The sequence below is a fragment of the Homo sapiens genome, chromosome 11 (assembly GCF_000001405.40).
Source record: "Homo sapiens chromosome 11, GRCh38.p14 Primary Assembly".
Taxonomy (NCBI): domain Eukaryota; kingdom Metazoa; phylum Chordata; class Mammalia; order Primates; family Hominidae; genus Homo; species Homo sapiens.
In genome coordinates, this window is record NC_000011.10 from 31,460,016 (window position 1) to 31,483,189 (window position 23,174).

At 33.1% G+C, this 23,174-nt stretch overlaps 1 protein-coding gene across 13 annotated transcripts in view, besides 3 other annotated features; it reads right to left on the reverse strand.

Moving 5' to 3' along the window:
• IMMP1L (inner mitochondrial membrane peptidase subunit 1) overlaps positions 1–23,174 on the reverse strand; it is a 77,222-nt gene that overhangs the window by 27,615 nt on the left and 26,433 nt on the right. For 4 of the 13 annotated variants that reach the window (XR_242781.4, XM_047426521.1, NM_001304274.2 and 1 more), the window contains 2 exons: positions 3,157–3,290; positions 611–699 (listed from right to left, as the gene is read on the reverse strand). Coding sequence is in view for 12 of the 13 variants with exons in the window: in XM_047426521.1 (XP_047282477.1) it covers positions 611–699; positions 3,157–3,261 (194 nt within the window). In the remaining variant the exon portion in view is untranslated. Of the gene's footprint in view, positions 1–610; positions 700–3,156; positions 3,291–9,702; positions 9,783–13,708; positions 13,772–23,174 lie in introns of all 13 variants that reach the window. The other 9 variants (XM_011519942.2, XM_011519943.3, NM_144981.3 and 6 more) reach the window with 7 other exon arrangements.
• Positions 17,308–18,878: an enhancer, noted in NCBI's record as "PAX6_hs8 or HCNE8". NCBI's record gives its function as "enhancer in midbrain" and the evidence as "EXISTENCE:transgenic organism evidence [ECO:0001131][PMID:19073165]".
• Positions 17,308–21,595: a biological region, named in NCBI's record as "HCNE8 enhancer downstream of PAX6".
• Positions 20,473–21,595: an enhancer, noted in NCBI's record as "VISTA enhancer hs863". NCBI's record gives its function as "enhancer in: midbrain (mesencephalon)[7/8]" and the evidence as "EXISTENCE:transgenic organism evidence [ECO:0001131][PMID:17130149]".

Below are 23,174 nucleotides of genomic sequence, written 5' to 3' on the forward strand. Positions count from 1 at the left end.
GCGCGGCGAGTATACACCTGTAGTCACAGCTACTTGGGAGACTAAGGGGAAGGATCACTGGAGCCCAGGAGGTTGAGGCTGCAGGGAGCTGAGATCGTGTCACTGCACTCCAGCCTGGGAGCCAGAGCAAGACCTCATCCAAAAAATGTATATCAGAAAATTTAAAAAAATAAAAACCATCAAACGGTCATCATAGACTACATATAAAGTAAGATAGCAATCAATAGAACTACAGGATTATTTTTAAAATTAAAGAACAAAAACATTGATTTGGATCTGTAATGTAATCCCTAAGTTCCTAGTTCTTAACTCAAAATATTCTAAAGCCCAATTAAAAAAGTTAAGCTTACATGTATATTGTAAGGGACTGCTAATTATTTTTCAAAATGATGCAAGAGATACAATGACCCAAGACACTGCATATGTTTGAGAAACTATTAAAATTTCTCAAACTGAAAGAGAATATTTGACTCAAAATTTTATCTAGCTGGTTATTAATATGTTTATTTATGAAAGAGGTTTTAAAGATAAAGTTAAGGAACTGCAGAAAAGCCACAATGTGTGTGTGTATTTTCACTGTAAATTTAATATATCCATGACAGAAATTTACCTTTGGATACCATAAAAATGTCGACTAAGATTTTCTGCAAAGACAATATCTGAATTTTGAATTGTAGGCTCCATTGATGGTCCAGAACACTGAAAAGAGAGGTAATTTGTAATCTAAATTCAAAATCTCTTTTAAATTTAACATAAATCTTTTAAGCAAGCTTAAAAGAAAGAAAATCAAGCAAATGTTCCTAAAGCTTGGGGGATGATTCATGAAAATTTGGCAGTTCTCAAGTAAGTTCAACTCTAGAGTAGCCACTAAGTCTGGAAATATAGACAAATACATTATAAATGGATTATTGCTTTCACATTATAATGCCTGAATAAAACAACATTACCTATGTTTCCAAATTTAGGCCACCCTATAGAATCTCAGTTCTATGAAGGCAGAGATCTCTCTCATGTTCCTAGCTATATAACCAAAGCCAAGAACAATGTTTGGTACAAAATTGATAAACCATACATATTGGTTGAATGAATGGGAGAATAATACATTTTCTTATTACTATCAGATATAATCCAGTGAACATGATGATGATTTACTAAATGGTATTATACTATTCTCAGTGAGCTTATGCCCATCTTCCTCTTCCAAGAGAATAGCTTACTCATTTCATGGGGCTGCAACTTAAATGTTCTACTGAAAAATACTAGCATGATGAGATGGACTTTAAAGATTTTCATGGCCAGGCATGGTGGCTCACACCTGTAATCCCAAAACTTTGGAAGAATGACTTGAGGCCAGGAGTTCAAGACCAAACCTGGCAACCTAAATAGAACCCATCTTTACAATGAAGCAATTAAAGATTTTCCTATTTGTATGTCTCAAAACAATAATCTTGATATATACAGGTTGAGTGTCCCTAATAAAAAATCTGAAGTCTTAAATGCTCTAAAATCTGAAATGTTCTGAGTGTCTACATGACACCACAAATGGTAAATTCCATACCTGACCCCATGTGATGCATCACAGCCAACATGCAGTCAAAATTTTTGTTTCATGCACAAAATTCTTTAAAATAGTGTATAACATTACCTTCAGGCTATGCATATAAGGTACATATGAAATATAAATGAATTTTGCGTTCAGACTTGGGTCCCATCCCCAAAATATCTCATTATGTATATGCAAATATTCCAAAATCCAAAAAAATCTAAAATCCATAACACTTCTGGTCCCAAGCATTTCAGATAAGGGATACTCAAACTCTACCTCAGAATCAGAAAAAACTATCATCGCCACTTTAAAAATCTAAATCCGACAGTCTCCATTTACTCTATTTGTAAATAAAACTTTTTACTCAAAAGTTCCTACTCAGGCAGAAATAGGAGGAAATACAATTACAGTTTGTTTGCTACCTTTGGAAGTACCAATCTAACTTACAAAAAAATCAAGAAGGCAAGTTTCAGCCAGGTACAGTTGCTCATACCTATAATCCCAGAACTTTGGGATGCCAAGGTAGGCAGATCACCTGAGGCCAGGAGTTCGTGCACAGCCTGGCCAACATGGTGAAACGCCATCTCTACTAAAAATACAAAAATTAGCCAGGCATGGTGATGTGCGCCTGTAGTCCTAGCTACTTGGGAGGCTGATGCATGAGAATTGTTTTGAGCCCAGCAGGCAGAGGCTGCCGTAAACTGAGATCACTTGATTGCACTCCAGCCCAGGCAACAGAGCAAGACCCTGTCTCCAAAAAAAAAAAAAAAGAAGGGAAATTTCAGTTAAATATATATATTTCCATTACTCCACCTTAACTGGAGGTTATGTGACTGTCAATCTGATAAAGTAAACCTAATTTAAAAAAAAAAACAGTAATAACAACAATAAAAAAAATTGACTGGCTGGTCAATCAATTTATTCTTTCACTTACATGACAAAAGGCTTGAATCAACAGCCACAGTTTGTAGTTTCCCAATATAATATTAAGAAAAAGTATTAGTTGGGGATAGGGAAAAACTTTAACATTTTAATATAGACATTAGGCAGAATAATCTGTCTTAATTACAGATGATTAATTTGTTTTAATTACAGTTATTGTGGTTATGAGCTGGAATTTTGAAAACTGGACAAATATGTGTTGAAATTTCAAGTTACTTACTAACTGTGGGACCTGGAACAAGTAAATTACTTAAGCTTTCTCAGTTCATTTCCTCATGTGTATAATGGATTACTAGTAAGTATCTCAAAGAAGTGTAAAAGATTAAATGAGTTAGTAAGTGTAAAACATCAAACATATCCTGAAACACAGTAAATAGGATTCAATAAATGGTAATGACTATTATTGTTATACTATTCAAAAGGACCCTTTGTGCCCATTAGAAACAGAATACAGAAAATATTTAAGTAATGGTCCTTATACCTTCTATCAGTGCCAATTCAAACACACTCTCTTATTATTCCAATATTTAGAAAGATTTTATGTTTTAACTTTCACAGTTTAGTCATTAAATAACTTCAACTAGGTTTTCAAAAGGAAAAACACACTTTCCTTCCATTTGAAAGAAAGTATATATTTAAGATGAATATTCTTGAACATAAAAACTTACCATGACAACACCACCAACGTATTCAAAAGCACAATGAGCTATACAGCCATATTGAATAGTATAGCCAACAAGTCGAAAGGTTTTCCCCAGAACACCACGAAGCATAGTTCTATGTAGACTCTGCCACCATTGGCCTGATGGTAAATTTCAAAAAGTTTCATGATCAATACTATTTAAAAACACTTAAGAAATAACTATTGTAAAATATTTTACAATCACCCAAAATGTACTAAGTGCCTAATACAATTTGGTGCAGGAAACCAAGAGTTTGTTATCAGTTCTAATGATATTTTAAATGGCAAATTGTAGCCACTAAATATTTTGATTTACCAAAGTTTATATTCAAATGTCACTGGGTCTACATATGAATTATATAATTAGTAGATTATAAACTAGTCTGTCCCCTTCCATGTCTTGGTTGTTTCTTCTATTAAGGCAGATGCTTAAAAAAGATAGTAACTCTTTCAAAGGACTAATAAAAGTTCCTTGCTATATATTACTTCTTGCCATGTAATAGGAAATAATGGAGAAATCACTAGAATAGGAATATGGAGATTCAAGTTTCACATTGGTTATTTTACTAACTTGTATAATCTTCAACAATTACTTAACCCTTCTGGGGCCTAGTAGAAATACTCTCATAGAATGATTATTAGAATCAAATTCAGCAATGTATGTCAAAGTACTTTATAAAAAGATACACTCATTTGTGAGCTATTAACTACTGATGTAACAAAAGGAACACATAAATACTATGAAACAACAGCATAAAGAACCATTTAAAGATTTTTTAAAGCTATATAAAATTTTAAAATATTGTTCATCTAAAATATTTCTAATATCTGTCCTTTACTATTTAACTGTTACAACTATGTATCATGCATTTCTTAACTAATAGCCTAACTCTTAGGCCTAGGCTACAATATACTGTTCTCAGATCAAATTTATTAAAATATATCGATAATAATATGTAACATCTGCTTAACATGTCAAGATTTACATATACTATCTCTGTAAGATAGATATTATTACCATCCTCAATTTATAGACAAGAAAAAAAAAGCCTAAGAGTAGTAAAGTAACTTGCTTATTATCATCACAAAGTTGGCAAAGGATGAAGCCAGTAATAAAAGGTCTCCCAAAAAAGAAAAGCCCAGCATCAGATGGTTTTACCTCTGAATTCTACCAAACATATAAAAAAGAACCAACACCAATTCTTCTCAAACTATTCCAAAAAACTGGAAATTGAGGGAATTCTTCCTAATTCATTCTACCAGGTCAGCATTGCCCTAATGCCCAAACCAGATGCAGGAAAAGAGAAACTGTAGGCCAAAATCCCCAATGAGCTCAGATGCAACAATCCTTAACAAAATACTAGCAAACCAAACCCAACAACGCATTAAAGAGATAATATACCACGATCAGATGGGATTTATCCCAGGGATGCAAGGATGGTTCAACACATGCCAATCAAACAGTGTGATATATAGCACATCAACAGAATGAAGAACAAAAACCATACAATGATCTCAATAGATGCAGAAAAAGCATTTGATAAATTTCAACATCACTTCACGATACAAACTCTCAAGAAATTAGGCAAAGAAGGAACATACATCAAAACAATAAAAGGCAATATATGACAAACCCACAGCTAATATCATACTTAATGGGGGAAAAGCTGAAAGCCTGTCCTCTAAGATCTGGAACAAGACACGGATGCCCACCTTCACCACTCTTATTCAACATAGTAACGGAAGTCACAGCCATAGCAATTAGGCAAAATAAAGAAATAAAGGGCATCCAAATTGAAAAAGAGGAAGTAACTATCCTGGTTACAGATGACATGATCTTATATATAGAAAAACCTAAAGACTTCACCAAAAATACTTTTAGAACTGATAAATGAATTCAATATAGTTGCAGGATACAAAGTCAACATACAAAAATTAGTAGCATTTTATTCACCAGGAATGATCTAGCTGAGTAAGAAATCAATGGGATCAATAAAGCAACCCCACCTAAAATGGCTATAAAACATTAAAAATATAACTAGGAATAATTTTACCCAAGGAGGTGAAAGACCTCTACAATGAAAACTACAAAAACACTGAAAGAATTGAAGAGGACATAAAAAATAAAAATGGAAAGACAGCCCATACTCATGGATTGGAAGAATTAATATTGTTCAAATGACCATACTACCCAATTTGATCTAAAGATTCAATGCAATCTCTATCAATATACCAAAGTCATTTTTCACAGAATTAGAAAACAATCCTAAAATTCATACAGAACCACAAGACCCCAAATAACCAAAGCAATATTGAGCAAAATGAATAAAGCTGATGGTATTACACTACCTGACTTTAAAATACACTACAAAGCTATAGTAACCAAAACAGCATGGTATTAGTATAAAAACACATAGACCAATGGGACACAATAGAGAACCCAGAAATAAATCCATGTATTTACAGCCAACTGATTTTTGACACGGTACCAGGAACATACACTGGAGAAAGGACATCTCTTCAATAAATAGTGCTGGAAAATTTGGATATCCACATGTAGAAGGACAAAACTAGTCCCCATATCTCTAACCATATATAAAAATCAACTTAAAATAAATTACAGACTTATAAATAAGATCAAACTATAATACTATAGGGGAAACACTTCAAGACATTGGTCTAGGCAAAGATTTTATGGCTAAGAAATCAAAAGAACAGGCAAGAAAAAACAAAAATAGACAAACGGATTTAAACTAAAAAGCTTCTGCACAGCAATGAAAATAAAGTAAAAAGACAACATGTTGAATGGGAGAAAATATTTGCAAACTATGCATCTGACATGGACTAATATCTAGAATATACAAGGAACCCAACAGCAAAAAAACAAATAACCCAATTAAAAAGTGGGCAAATGATCTGAATAGACATTTTTCAAAAGAAAACATAGAAATGGCCAACAAATATATTAAAAAATGCTCAACATCACTAATCTTCAGGGAAATGCAAGTCAAAACTATAATCAGGTATCATCTTACCACAGTTAGATTGATTATTATCAAAAAAGACAAAGAAAGTGCTGGCAAGGATGTGGAGAAAAGAAAATTCATATACCCTGTTAGTGGGAATGTAAATTAGTACAGTCATGGAAAACAGTGTGGAGGTTTCTTTAAAAACTCTAGAGAATCAAAAAATAATTCTCTCAATTCTGCTACTGGGTATTAATCCGAAAGAAAGGAAATCAGTATATCAAAGGGATACCTGCATCCTCATGTTTATTGCAGCGTAGCTACTATTCACAATAGCTAAGACACAGAATCAACCGAAATATCCATCAACAGATGAATGGATAAAGAAAACATGCTATACATACACAATGGAATACTATTCAGCCACAAGGAGAATGAAATCCTGTTATTCAAGGCAACATGAATGACCCTGGGGCACATTATGTTAAGAGAAATAAATCTGGCACAGGAAGAAAAATACCTTATGTTTTCACTCATCTGTGGGAGCTTAAAAAAATATTGAGCCTATGGAAGTATAGTGTAGAATTATAGGTATCAGAGGCTGGGAAGGGGAGGTAGGAGGGGAGAATGAGAAGTTGGTTAATGGACACAAAATTACAGCTAGATAGGAGGAATAAGTTACTGCCTTCTGCAGCACTGTTGGATGAATACGGTTAACTATAATTTATTGTATATTTTCAGAAAGGTACAAGAAGATCTTTAATGTTCACAACATAAAGAAATGATGTGTTTGAGGTGATGACTACGCTAATTACCCTGATTTGATCATTATATACTGTATACATGTAACACAATATCACTGTATCCCATTAATACATACAATTATTACATACCAACTAAATATAAAAGGAAAAACATTGAAAGTGAATCTAGAATGTATCTTAGTAGTTGTTGGTTGTAGTATTTTATGTATATTTCAGATAGTAAAAGTGAGCAAATATTTAAGTCATTTCTCACTGTGAGAAAAAGAAGTAACAAATATGGAAAGGGATCTTAAGGATGAATTTGAGTTATCAAAACAAATTTACTTAAATAAGCATGTATATATTTGTCTGTTTGCCTATAAAAAAATGTCATCCTAGCTCTGTCCACTGTGAAAAGGCCATTGTAAGAAGCAATGACACTATAGTACTTATGAGCACACTTAGTGCCCACATTTTTGGTTTCTAAGTATCATGCTCCACCAGTGCAGAACAGTCAGTGCTCAAAGACTGGTGCAAACAAAGGAACCATTCTGAGGGGTCATCCAATGGCCAAATGTGGGACAATATAAGCCTAAAAATAATAACAGTAATTGATAATACATTAAATTTGAGACAACATAAGCCTAAAAATAGTAACAGTAATTGATAACACATTAAATTAAAAATGAAATTTTTAAAAAGATGCATGTGTTGGGAATAGGGAAAGTTCTTCATCAAAACATGACAGCTAATAAATGTAGAAGGAATGGTAAAATTACCACCAGTGTAATAATTGACTCAGACAAGGGCCACTGATGCATGCTAAAATATACTGGGTGAAACATTGTTGGTCAAAAAGATATTTGAAAAGTATCAAAGTAGATAATTTTTTTTTTTTTTTTTACAAAGGGAACAAGGTATCTTTCCAATGGGAAGATCTGGTAAATACTAACTTAACACAATGACCAAATTTAGCAGCATACTGATATCATGTGGCCTCTTACCAATGGAATGACAAGTACATCATCATCTGTGTACCATTCCTGCCAAAAATGTGTAACCTAAATCTGATCATGAACAATCAAAACACATCCATATTGCAGACATTCAACAAGACAACCAGCTTGAACACTTAAAAAGTATAAATTTAATGAAAGGAAAAATTATACTAAAAGTACTATTTTCAATTACAAGAAAATAGAAGGACATGACAACCAAACACAATATGAAATCTTGAATTGGATCCTGGAGCAAAAGGAAAAAGAAAGCTATAAAAGACATGGGGACAACTGGGTAAATCTGAATATTGTACATAAAAATATATCACTGTTTCAGTGTTAAATTTCTTAACAATATGCTACGTAGGAGAATGACCTTGTTCATAGGAGATAAACAAGGAATTATTTTGAGAAAAATGCTATGACTGCAACTTCCTTTCATATGGTTCACTTCTACTGCTAATAATCATGGATACAGAGAGATGAAGACAAATTGATACACACATATATATACACACATACGGATATATTACATATGGAGGAAGATAGAACGCTAATGTGGCAAATGTTCATTGTTAAATCCAAGTGAAGTGTATACAAATGTGCATTGCACTATTTTTTTCAGCTTTTTTTGTAGAATAAAACTTCTAAAAAACAAACACTTGGGGAAAAAAGGGTGACTTCATTCATTCAACAAATATTTACTGAGCTACTACTACGTACCAGATACTGTGTTCAGCCCTGGGAATACAATAGTGAACATGATGCCTTCTCTCATACAGCTTATAGTATAGTGGGGCAGATATCATAGATACACAAAGTAAACAAATAAATACATAAATACATTAAGTAATTTCTGTAAAGAAAAATATAGTAAAGTGATAGAGAATAACGGGTGAGGCATACTTTCTTTAAGATGAATCAGAAAAGATTCCTCTGATGAAAATGCCATTAAAGATAATGCTGCATTTAACTTTCTGAAGAACGCCCAAACTGTTTTCCAAAGCAGTTGCACCACTGTACATTTTTACTAGTAATGCATAAGGTTTCCAATTTCTCCATATCCTTGCCAACATTTGTTACCATCCATGTTTTGATTGTAGCCATCCCAGTGTGTATGAATCTCACTGTGGCTTTGATTTGCATTTCCTTAACAACAAAATATTCATAAGCACCTTTTTCATGTGTGTATTGATCATTTGTATATCTTCTTTGAAAAATATCTACTCAAACACCTTGCCCATTTAAAAAATTGGGCTACTACAGTTTTTAGTTTAATCCAAAGATTATAAGCATGCTATAAAATAGTACTAAATGATTGCATTCAATCAAAGCACATTATAAAATAGAATCAAATGACTGAAAGCCAAGAGAAAAAAAAGTACAAAACAGAAAGAGAGCAACAGGTGATTCAGGTATTGCACTTAACATATGAACACTTTAAAATAACTATGATTAACATTAAAAAAAACAGAAGGAAAGACAAAAGTTCAGCAGTGACCTAAAATCTATTAAAAATCAAATGGAAATTATACACAACACAATACTACAAAATAAAATATAACTAAAATTAATGCATTACATGAATATACCGGCAGATTCTGCCTACTAGGCTCAGCCTAACAGGAGACAAGTGAACTGGAATGCAAGTTGGGAGAAAGTAGTAAGACTGAAGGACAAAGAGGAAAGCAGGTAGGCAATCCAGGAGAAACAGTACTAATATAATCAGAGACCTAAAGGAGAGGAACAGAGAATAGGACAGAAGCAATATTTTGAAGAAATATTGGTAGATAACTTTCCAAATTGATGAAAGACCTTAACTCACAAACTCAAGAAATTCTACAAACCATGAACAGGATACACACAAAACACACAGCTACATCCAGGCACAGTAGAGTCAAGATGCTGAAAAAGACAATGAGAAAAGTTTAAAATTGGTCAGAAATTTACCTTATTTTCAAAGAAACAATTTTGTCTGTTCAACAAAATGGAATGGCTACCTTTACATAAGAAATAATTAAAACCAGAATAAAATAAAATGGCATTTTTAAAGTATGAAAATCACCAAACTATAATTCTATGTCTGATGAAAATATACCTCAAAAGCTAAAGAAAAAAATAAAAACACTTTTAGAAAACAAGTTTTGTGAATGTTTTTGCCAGCACAACTGTAATAAAATATACGCTAACAGGAATAATTCAGGAAAAACAAAATGTTATCAGATAGAATTTGGCAAATGGGCTGGGTGCAGTGGCTCATGCCTGTAATCCAACACTTTGGGAGGCCAAGGTGGGCAGATCACCTGATGTCGGGAGTTCGAGAGCAGCCTAACCAACAAGGAGAAACCCCGTCTCTACTAAAAATACAAAATTAGCCAGGTGTGGCAGCGCATGCCTGTAATCCCAGGTGCTCAGGAGGCTGAGGCAGGAGAATCGCTTGAACCCGGGAGGCGGAGGTTGCGGTGAGCCGAGATAGCGCTATTGCACTCCAGCCTGGGCAATAAGAGCAAAACTCCATCTCAAAAAACAAAAAACAAAAAACAAAAAAAAAAAGAATCAGGCAAATCCAAGAAGGAAGGAAGAGAAGTGAAGAGTACATACATACATATTTGGATAAAGATACTGATGCTGTTTAAGACAATAACAAAAATATTTTACAGGACATAAAACATATATAAAAAAGAACACTAAAAAATAGAACTACCATATGATCCAGCAATTCCACTACTGGGTGTATATCCAAGAGAAAGGAAATCAGTATGTTGAAGAGATGTCTGCACTCCTATGTTTATTGCAGCACTATTCAGAATAGGCAAGATATGGAATCAACTTACATGTCCAACAGATGAATGAATAAAGAAAATGTGGTATATATACACAATGGCATACTATTCAGCCACAAAAACCAATGAAATCCTGTCAAACAAGGCAACATGTATGAGCCTGGAGGACAATTATGTTAGTGAAATAAGCCAGGCATAGAAAGACACATATCATATGTTCTCACTCATACATGAAAGCTAAAAAAGTTGATTTCACAGAAGGAGATAGAATAGTGATTATTAGAGGCTGGAAAGTGTGAGGCATGATAAGGAGGGACTGGCTAACAGACGCAAAATTACAGCTATATAGGAGAAATAAGTTCTACTGTTCTATTGCACTGCAGGGTGACTGTAGTTAACAATAATTTAGTGCATATTTTCAAAGAGCTATAAGACTTTTAATATTCCCAACACAGAGAAAGGATAAATGTTTGAGGTGATAGATATGTTAATTACTCTGATTTGATCATTATACACTGTACATATGTATCAAAATCATACTGTACCATAACTGTACACAATTATTAAGTGTTCAAGAAAAATCTCCCAGTGAGAAACCTGTTTGGATAAGGCCCTAGACCTCAATGAAGGTGTTAACCCGAGGATCTTTCTCCCTCTCCTTCCCTCTGAAGTGTTCCCTGACCTCCGTGTATGGCCTCCAGGTATGTCATGTATCCAGGACCTGTAAGTAATAAAACCATTATTTCTATCTTGTGTCTCTCCTAATCATTGAAGGAGTGTGTTCCATCTTAAAGATGCTAAATTAAAATATATATATTTAGATGCTAAATTATATATATATCTTCAATTTAAAAAAACAGGGCAATAGAGAATGGGATCAAACAAAGGCCGACAGATTGGGTTTTCATAGAAGTTTAGTACTTCCTCCAATGTAATAAAAGGGAAGAAAAATATGAGTTAACATACTGGTAGTTTTGTCAGTTTGATGGTAGAAAAATAAGGGAGCTCTTGCCTCTTGTTTTTATTTACTCTTTCTTATGAGCTGAGACTGGGAACTTTTAGCACAAAGCGAACTGGTAAACGGAACTGGTTACAGATGTACTAGTATTCCATTGGTGCCAACAAATTACCATAAACTTAGTTGCTTAAAACAACACATATTTATAATCTTACAGTTGATAGGTCAGAAGTCTAACATGGGTACCACTGGGCTAAAAAATCAAGACTGTTTCTTTCTAAAGGCTTTAGGGGAGAATCCATTTCCTTGCCTTTCCCAACTTCTAGAAGCACTAACATTCCTTTACTCATAGCCCCTTTGTTCCATCTCAAAGCCTTTAATCTCCCTGGCCATTATTCCATGGTCACTTCTTCCTCTGTTTCTCTCTCTCTCCTGCCTCCTTTTTACTCTTTTAAGGACCCTGGTGATTACACTGAGCCCAACTAGATAATTCACAATGATCTCAAAATCCTTAATTTAATCACACCTGTGAAGTCTCGTTTGCCATGTAAGGCAACATATTCAAAGGTTCTGGAGATTAGGATGCAGACATCTTTGGAGGGCCATTATTCTACCTACCACACCAGGATACAGAACATTAAACTAGTAATTACTAAACTGTGGTTCCTCAGACCAGCATCAATATGGCATCATCTTGAAACTGATTTGGTCAAATACAAGACTTATTAGAATCAGAAACTTAGGAAGCGTTGTTCAGCAATCCGTATTTTAACAAGTTCTCCAAGTGACTGCTCTAAACTCTTGGTGACCAATGGCCATTGCCAGCCTTGGGCAGCCCTATTTATCCAGTCATTTACTACTTTGTGTTGTATAACTTACCATGTACCATGTGTGCTGTGAAAAAAATCTGGGAAGCTTGGGCACCAAAAAATTCAGAATCTGTTACTTTTTTTATTCCCTATCATATTTACATTAAAAAAACTGAGTCATTAATGTAGAGAACCAATTTCTTTAAAGGGGAACCTATATATTCTTTCAAATAATTAATAGAAAAGCTAGGGAAAAAGTGAAAAGCAGCATAAAAATTGTGACTGTGTCATACAGCAAAAGAAGTATAGGAGGATCCTCCCCAGAAATCTTTTAAGAGCCTCTTCATTACTTTACATATATTAACTCATTTAATCCTTAAAACAACCCTATGAGAACTTAGATACCTCTTTTATTTTTTATTTATTTATTTATTTTTTTTTGAGATGGAGTGTCGCTCTGTCGTCCAGGCTGGAGTGCAGTGGCGCAATCCCAGCTCACTGCAATCTCCGCCTCCCAGGTTCACACCATTCTCCTGCCTCAGCCTCCCGAGTAGCTGGGACTACAGGTGCCCGCCACCTCGCACGGCTAATTTTTGTTGTTGTTGTTGTTGTTGTTTGTTTTTTTGAGACGGAGTCTCGCTCTGTCGCCCAGGCTGGAGTGTAGTGGCGCGATCTTGGCTCACCGCAAGCTCCGCCTCCCGGGTTCACGCCATTCTCCTGCCTCAGCCTCCTAAGTAACTGGGACTACAGGCGCCTGCCACCACGCCCGGCTAATTTTTTGTATTTTTAGTAGAGACGGGATTTCACCATGTTAGCCAGGATGGTCTTCATCTCCTGACCTTGTGATCCGCCCGCCTCAGCCTCCCAAAGTGCTGGGATTACAGGCATGAGCCACTGCGCCCGGCCCCTTTGATATCTCATTTTACAGATAAAGAAACTGAGGAGCAGAGAGATGAAGGAACTATTCAAAGTCATGCAGCTCATTAGAGGCCAGGCCAGAATTCAAAATGAAGCTGTTTAGGTCTAACATCCAATACTACACCATATTGCCTCTCAATTTAAATGAAAAAATTTTTGGATACTATAAAATAGGCATCTGGGAATAGAGACACATAGGAAAGATAGAGGTAGGACTGATGTTAAAACCAGCTAAAAAGATTGAGCAGAGTGAACCTCAGAAGCTGAAAAGAAATTAGAGATTCCTCCATCTTTAGAAATTTCTGGGCATAGGCATCCAATTCTAAGATTCTAATTTGGATCCAATGACTGAAGTAGACTTACAGTAATTTCAGAATACCCAAAGTCACAAGAAGTTGTCCACCTGATTGTTCAGGTCTGAAATTCCTTTGAAAAGAGAAAGCATTTCGTTTCAGAAACAGGAAAAATATATATATACACATTATACAAGTATGTAAATACATTATATATGTATATATATGTCAAATGTTAAGACCATCGGTTTACATAAATTCATTCATTCTAAAGTATAAGCAATCACAGAAATGATTTAATGTCATTAATGTATTTTTGTTCCGATAGAGGAACAGAGTTTGAGAATAAATTAGCATTTAAAGAAGTGTTCACATTAAGAAAGGGTGAGCAGAAACAAGTTAGATAGGGAAGGAGAAAACAAATTACATCATAGTTTTGCCACATTTACCTTCATTTGGGCAAGAAAAAATAGTAGATTTTGACATTTCTGAGACCTTGGAGATGTTCAAAGTCAAGAATACTTACACAAAATCCATTTTCCCCACAGAATGATGCATAAAAAGTAACTGAGAGATATATGTCCACTTAAGATCCTAGGTAGAAGTTATTGTGACAAGTAGAGAACAACAAAGACTCATTATGCTGAGTAGTATACTCTGCTCAATAGCTAAATAATTCACTCTCAAACAGCAGAGTCTCCATCAAAGTAATTCAAATTCCTGTCATTTCAAAATCACCTTCAGGGCTGCTCATGAATTGTTCAAATCCATAAGTGTTAAATCTACTGTAAGATTTGTATAGAGATTTTTATTTTCTAAAACTGCAAACTCAAGGCACTCATACTCCCATAATCTATGAAGATTTTATTAAAATCTGTTTATTTTGAATTAAAAAATTAGCTGGGCATGAGGTGCACACCTGTAGTCCCAGCTACTTGGGAGGATTACTTGAGCCCAGGAGGTTAAGGCTGAGGTGGGCCATGATCTTACCACTGCACTCCAGCCTGGGCAATAAAGCAAGACCCTGTCTCAAAAAGAATTAGAAAAAAACACTAAACCTGTTTATTTTGTTTCATTAGCAGAGGAAATAACTGCCATTACTTTAAAGTTTAAAGCAGTGAATACTGCTTCAAATTTGACTGCAGCATCAAAATAACATGAAAACCTAATATCAACCAAAATTAAAAACTAAAAATCCAAATTCCCAGGCTCCCTGCGATTCCTATGATTCTCATCCTACATCACAGAGCTAATGAAAGAGAATCTCTGGGAACCCGGCTGCAGATTCTATAGTTTTAATAAGCTCCCAGGAAGGAAGTCCAGTAAAGGACTTTGTCCTGTCCTTTAAGACCACCGACGCATACTCAATATTTTCAGAGACTTGACAAAATTTACCCATTCATTATCTTTAAAGTGAACGTTAACTTTGGGATAATTCTATAAATTTTCATCAAGTAAATATTATAATGCTAATACTTCAATGTATTTCATTAGTCCACTGGTATTTTCTGAATTTTACATTTTCACATATAACCAAAATTGAAACTCACCTTATGTTTATAAAGAATAAGCAGTTGATCATTTTAATATAAGAAAGCATCACCTTCCAAAAAGTAAAATACCAAAACATCCACATTCATTCACCAATAATACAACTATTAAATGATCTATTTCAAAATATAGCAGTTGTATGAGTAACAGTGGAAGAATATTAATTCAAAAAGAAATATCATTTAGCATTATCATAGGCTAACCCTCACTGTGCCACAGTTCATGAACGGCTTTTAGAGAGATCAGCCTCCAACTCCTGGGCTCAAAGAATCCTCCCACTACAGCCTCCCAAGTGTCTGGGACCAGGGACGGGTGCCACCATGCCCAGCCCCATCCTATTCTTTTGTTATACCTGACTTATCATTCTTTCTAAAAAATTTCTTCTCATTTCATCGTATATCCCACTCTCTTATCTCCAAAAATAATTCCCTTAAGTCTTACTGACATCATGAGTTGCCTGTGCTGCAAATTAGTATCTAGCTTAAGATAAGCCAAATTTCTTATAAGTTATCAACAGATATTAAAATTCAAATAACCTGTATTTTTATGAAAAGAATGTATACCATTGAGAAGATCTTATGTTTTATGTTGAATTTACTTCAGATGAGTTTATTTGAGACGTTCTAAAGAAAATAACCATCTCTAAACAAATAAGAGTGACCCCTAGAACGGAGAAGGAAAAAATACTAACTCTCAAGAGCTGTTCAGTAAATACCTGAATAAAAAGTAAAAAAGTAAATACTGACCAGGTTTAGTAAAACCTTCCAGACAAATTCTGTTTTGAATGCAAAACTACTTTTAAAAATAAATATATAATACTACAAGCTACCATAGAAAGTTATGCTGAGATAATAGCCTACCTGGCAAAATAATGTGAAATTACACATAAACCAAATATTTTAGATTTAAAATAAGTAATTTTATTATGAGGGTAAGAAAAAGATTTTAGTCCACTTATTTACTTCATGGATAGCTTTTTTCATCATAATAAAATAAAAATTTTTCCAAACAGCAAACATACAAATAGAAGGCAAAAGTCGTCCTTTATAAAAGTAACACAATGCAGTTTACTGGAAATATTGGCAAGCTTTCTCATTTATTCATTCAAAATGTGGTAAAAGTTTGGAAATACAATTTGAAATACAGTAGCTTGGAACCAGTTAAACCAAACCCGGGAACTCTGTATAAATTTATTATATTTGCTGACTTTTCTAGTAAAGACTTTATATGGAAAAGAATAAAAGATACTACACATAAACAGAGGTGGTAGTACATTAATGGTGTGCATCAGGTATAAAATTGATTATATTTTAATTATTTTTATAATTTCAAGAAAATACTTTAGTCACCTATATTTAGTTAAAATGTTAAAGTTTAAAAACATTTAGACTGAGGCTGTATAATTTATTTTTTAAAAGATACAGCTACTAAACAAAAGAGCTATGAGATAAAATCCAAGTTCTATGAATAAATATTTTAAAATTAAGTACTCTAAGATCATAACACTGACAACACTAATTATCTTTTCTAGTCTTGGCAGTTACGTTGCATACTGTTTGGGTGACTGATGGGATAATTTCACTTCATTTTCTCTCAGTTTATATTGGATCGTGTTAGAAAAAAATATTAAAATAATTAACACCTCCAGCCAAAGTACTTGATAAAGTTTTTAGTTGAAATAAAAGCTAACAAAATCAATTAACTAACTCACTGATTTTTAAGCACACAACTAAACCTCCATCTAAAGGAAAAGTTACTAAGAATCACTGATTTTTAAAAATAAGTCATTCAGTATTCCTATTTACTCTATACTTTTATATATTAAAATCATATATTTCACCAAAAGCCCTTTCATCAGCAGTTTCAGCTAGCATTACCTTCATTACAAAAAATATAGGTGTCTATATATTTCAAATTATGTTTTATTCACCAAAAACATTTCATCAGTAGCAACTGAAGCAGTCAAAAACAGGTAAAACATATGACGAAACATATTATTTCAATTCCTTACAGCTAGACATTTTGATTAATTTCATAGTGGCTCTATAGCCAAAAGAATATAAAAGTATTTAAATTAATATTTGATCTGAAATATGAATTGTTACCAATAGTAAATAATTTGCCATTCAATTAAAAAAACCAAGACATCATTGATCAACTTTTCTATTTCAATAGCTTAATAAATTTTGAATCATATAGCTTAGTTTGTATATGTCTTGCATAATTTTAAGTCATATAGCTTAACATAAGGTTACATATTATAAATAATAAAGAGCATATTCTTTGCCTTGATGACCTGATTTTTTGTTGTTGTTGTTTATAAAATTAATCACAGTTAGCAGGGCAGAAATAGCTTTGAGCTTCATGAATGACATCCAAGAGATGGGAAAGGATTAGTTCTCAGTTGCTGCCAGTTATAGCGCCAGGTGGCTTTTTCTGCAGTGAAGGTGTTACCGATAATCCCATTACACTGGTACTAAATCTTGCAGACATCAAAATTATCACCAAGGTTCCTTTTCATCCCATCCTTTCCAAATGACTGGAAGTCGCTTCACCTGAAAGAAGTCAAATCCACATGCAGCTGCTGTTTTAGCCGGCAGCAAACTCCCTGAGAATGTCAGTCGTGATTCAGTTTTGCTGTGCTGGTTGGCCCCCTATTCCCTGTCCAATAATACATCTGTTAAAAAATCCTACAGCTACAAATCAAGTTTAATCCTACCAGGGACCTCATGTTGGTCTTGTCTTCCAAAAAGGCAGCAGATTCTGCTGTCTATCTCTGCTAGTATCTGGGGAATACCCTTTAAATCCCAGCCCTACTTAGAAGAATAAGCTAAGGATCACAAAACATGACCTCAAAAACCCTGATATGACTATATTCTGACCCAGAGGCATTCATTCTAGGTGAAGATTAGAACTTTGCATAATAAGATTACACAGCAAGTGAATGATATCAGGGGACTATCCATATGCAGCCGCCTGGTTTTGTATAGACAGCCTGTGCTCTGCAATATGCAGTGCAGACGAAAAAGAGCTTGGTCTTTCTAGCTGAAATAAAATAGATTCACATAAATTAGTTGGCCATTTCCAGATTTCTAAATCCCCTATTACATCTTTTATTGACAGCTCCTGTGAGGATAGCACAAATGTTATTCTTTTTTATTCTGTGCTTCTATAACAATCATGCTCTGTAATTGAAATGTACATAGATTATGTCTAGAAATTAACATCTTGTTTGCTGTAATCTTGGATTACAATTGACTGTGTACATAATAAAATTAGGAAATCAATGGACGGATTTATCATCTCCAAGAAACTAGAGGTATTGTTTAAAGAATAGTTTAACATTTTGTGCCAACACTTTAAATGCAGGAGTCACAGGGAGTAGTCAATAAAAATGTGAGTCCAAGAATACAGCAGGCATTGGCTAATAACTAAAAATGATATTACATAAAATTAGGTCATAGCCCTCGAAATTTAGAAAATGTGAAAAACTCAGAGATTTCATAAATATGGTTTTCTCTAACTCATACTTGTGCAAAGTCAATTATGTATGACCATTTTAAATAAAATATGTATGCCTACAGTATTTTATATAAATTTCCTTGATCATTTTATAACTATACTTTAAAATATTTGAATCAAGTCAAATAAATTGTAATTCAAGGTTTTATAATTCTTAACTATATGTTTTTAAAATAGTTATCAGTGAAGAAATCTCTCCTCACATTTAAATATGTACAGAACATTTTAAATGTATAGAATTCTAGAGAAATTAGGAAAATGATATTTTATAATCAGCTTCTTCCACCCATGACATAACAGCTATACCAGCTTATCTAAGCAAATTTATATGAAAAGACTGATTCATATACATTTACACAAACATCTGTCCAGAATAAATCTAAGGATGTGAAGACGTTGTAAGTTTTATATAAAAAAAAAGTACTAAGATTTGCGATGGAATTCTTGTAAAACTAAACTCCTAAGTATACTTGCAATATGGCTTACTTGACAAGTTTGATTTGCCGACAATTTTTGAGGAACACTCCACATTTATTACATTAGTCATTATCACGTCATCATCACAATCTCTTTAAACATATCTGTACAATGTCTGATAAGTACTCAAAAGTCAGGTGACACAATTGGATTTTATGTATCACACAGAAAGATATAAACCAATGGTATTAGTGCTATAAAAAACTTTATGTAATTTCAACTACATAGCACATGAATATTCTTTGGTTACCTTGACTAGGATATTACTAGAAAAATCAGAAATGTAAAAAGTACATATTTTTGTTATGATATTTTGTTAAAACTGTGTAATACTTTAGAACTATACTGTTCAATAAGGTGGCCACTAGCCTTATGAGGCCACTTAAAAGATGACTAGTCCAAATTGAGATGTACTATAAGTATTAAACACACATTGGACTCTGAAGACTTAATACAAAAGAGGGAAAGTATTTTGTTAATGTTTATATTGATTACGTATTGAAAATATTTTGGTTATAGCTGATTATGTGATTCATATTATGTTTCTAATGGAAAGCACCACTTTAGCAGGTCTTATATTTTCCTATGTTCCTAAGCCAAATGAAATGGTGCAACTAATAAAAATACTGAAGCAGAGGGTTAATTATGGAAGAACAAACATTCCAGTGTCAAATCTGGTAGATAAGCTTAGTAAAGAAAGTATAAAATCCTGTCATTTTAGCTTCTACTTCATATTTTCAGTTTAAGGATGGTGGTGAAAGAAGACCTGCCAAATTGCTGACCATCGATGTATAAAAAAAGAATGATGTGATGTAGTTACAAAATGCTTTAGTCCAGTAAATACAGGTTTTTAAAAAAATTGTCTCTTGAGCAATTTCATAAAAGACTAGTGAGGTCTGTGTTACTCCCTCATTGAGCTCAAAAGATAGCAACTTCAAAAAACATGTTTGGATCTAGAAAGGGATGAACTTTTTTCTATGGTGTTATTGTAATTGGTTACATTCAAATTTTTAAAGTACATTTAAGTAATAACTACAGAGATTTGAGACATTTAGTATACTTCAGAATATTCACAAAATAAAAAGGTCAACATTATAAATTATTAGTAGGCTGCTTTTCTATTAGTCTTTTGATCATATCATCAATGAAATTCTTTTAAAAAATCCTTTAATAAAAAGCATTTATAGAAATAAGTAAAACTGAAAATAATGTAATTCAGGAAATGTAATTATTCATTTAGAATGACTAGACAACTGATACTATACAACTAAAACAAAGTCTATCTTTGTCACACACTGGAATATGATTTTAATATAAACATGTTCTTAAGGTACTAACTCATTTTAAAAGTTGCTTTTTCATAATCATTCCTTTATAATATCTATCTGTAATACTGAGGCTAAAGATGAAATTGAGATATGAGTATCAATAAATAAGATGAATAAAATTTAAATCAATTTTTTATGACCTAGTCATGCTACTTATTTTTAGCCTTTTACAATTATGTAGGTTTATTCCTTTTCTGGTTACAAGTATCACATAGACATTACACATACACACACACAAAAGCAAAATAATAATAATAACAAAAAAACTTTCTAACCATCAATAGATGAGTGCAATGATATTCAGTCTGAGTTAATCTCCAGACATCCAAATTCATGAATAAAAATTCATCAGTTTTAAATACACTGAGCCTATTAAGCAAGAACAAAAGCATATGCACAAAAGAGCTTTTAATATATTTCAAAGCCCACAAGAGCCATGGTCTCATTAAAATTATAAATTACACAAACATGGAATGAAGATTCAAACTGCAGTGCAGCTAAGCAGATTACAGAAAACCCCGCGTTCCATATGATAACACACCATGGCCCTCCCAGATGGGGGCTTGGAACAAAAAGGCCATCACCACAGCTAGGGAAAACCTCCTTGTGATCTCTGGTTTCTGTTCAGCAGATGACAGCCAAATAATATGTTGATTATTCTGTTTGTGCTGCTAAGCTTGTAAGATGGAATAAAGCGATATGATCTATTGTGAACCCAATGCTAATGTGTTGCTCCACTCATAAATAATATACTGAATTTATTTTCAAACTATCTCTTATCTGAATTTCAGTTTTTAAATGCATGAATTAAAATAAAAGCCAGGATAAAATAATACTTAATTTGATGCTTTAAACTAAAAAATGCAATTGGCAAGTGAAAAATATCTAAATGCTTAGTGAAGAGTTATTACAATCACCTTTCTTTAATTTCAGCACTGTAACGGGAGACAAAAAAACACTTTTAAATAGGCAATTACTTTCATTAGGAAATATAAATATAAAATTAAGTAATATAATAATCATGAAGTTAATAATATACATTATGGACAAGATAAAAACTAAAATATCAGGGCATGAAAAAACACTTTTCTACAACATCATAGCCCATAATCAGAACATATAGTGAATGCATTTTTGAACAATAAAAAGAATAACTGAAGACCTCATAAATGTTCATAACTTGCACAAGAAATCTTACTTAAAATTTAAAAGAAGTTTATAAAAATAATTTTCAAATAGCTAGCATTTTATTTTGATTTGGTGACAAAAGTTAAAACCTAATTTTTCCCTCAATTTAAAAAAAAAGGTATATTTAAAATCCTAAGCTTTAAAGATGATGCCCAATGAAGTAACAGGGATTGTGTCTGTGAATACAAAATTGTGTATTTCATGAATAAACTTATTTATGAATACTATTGCTTAAAATATTAAAAATCATAACATTTATCTCTTCATCCCCAAATTCCTCCCTTAATACTCTAGTAGACTCTCCTTAAAGGCAAACTAACAAACAACTAAAGTAGTACATTAAAACTGCACATAAGGTGAACATGAATAAACACACTGTTTTCTTAAGGGAGTATTTTATAGAAAGTACATAATTACGGTCATCGGCCTAAGTCCACCTCATTTTTTCTGTCTCCAGATACAAACTGAGTCCAAAAGCACTGCAAAACTCCATAATATGTAAATACAGACTGAAATTTTAAATCTAAAGGTAAAGCAAAAATGCTTTTGAAGAAAAACTAAGAAGATAAAACATTCTTGAAGTAGATAAATATTTCTTAAACAAGAATTAAAAAGCACTAAACATAAATGATGAACTAGACTACTTTAAAGACTTAAACTTCTGTTCATTAAAAGCACTATTAAGAGAGTAAAAAGACAAACCTCATAGAAGAAGAAATAGTTGCAATACCCATCATCAATGAAGAACTCATATTTTGAATATATAAAGAACTCCCACAAATCAAAGGAAATGACAGGCTAACAGAAAAGTGGGCCAAAGAAGTGAACCGGAACTTCACAGAAGAAAATAACCAAACAGCCAATATACATATGAAAAAGTACTCAACTTCATTAATTGGGGAAATATAAAGTAAAATCATTACGGTACACTACTTTGTACCCACCAGAATTGGAAAAATGAAAAAGATGGGGGGAAAAAAACGAGTGTTGGAAACATGTGGAGCAACTAGAACTCTCTCGCATACTATAAATATAGCCTGATACAAACATTTTAGAAAACTGTTTGCCATTGTTGCTTAAAGCTGAACATATATATGTTGCTGACCAGTAATTTTGCTCCCAGATATATCACCAAAAGAAATGTGTAGATACATAACTCAAGAAATACATATTAGAATGTTCATAATAGCATTATATAGAAACTACGCAAATGTCCACTAACAGTAGAATGGATAAATAATAGTTATATATTCACAACTACATGCAGCAATAAAAACAAACTACAACTATATAGATAAATCTTAAGACACTATGTTGAACAAAGGAAATCAGACACACAAAAAATGATACTGTATAATTTTCTATATATAATACAAAAACAAGAAAAATGAATCTGCTATTAAAATTCAAGGCAGTGATTATCCTTGTTGGGGGAGGGGGCACAGTGACTGGAAGGGTGCATGAAGGTGT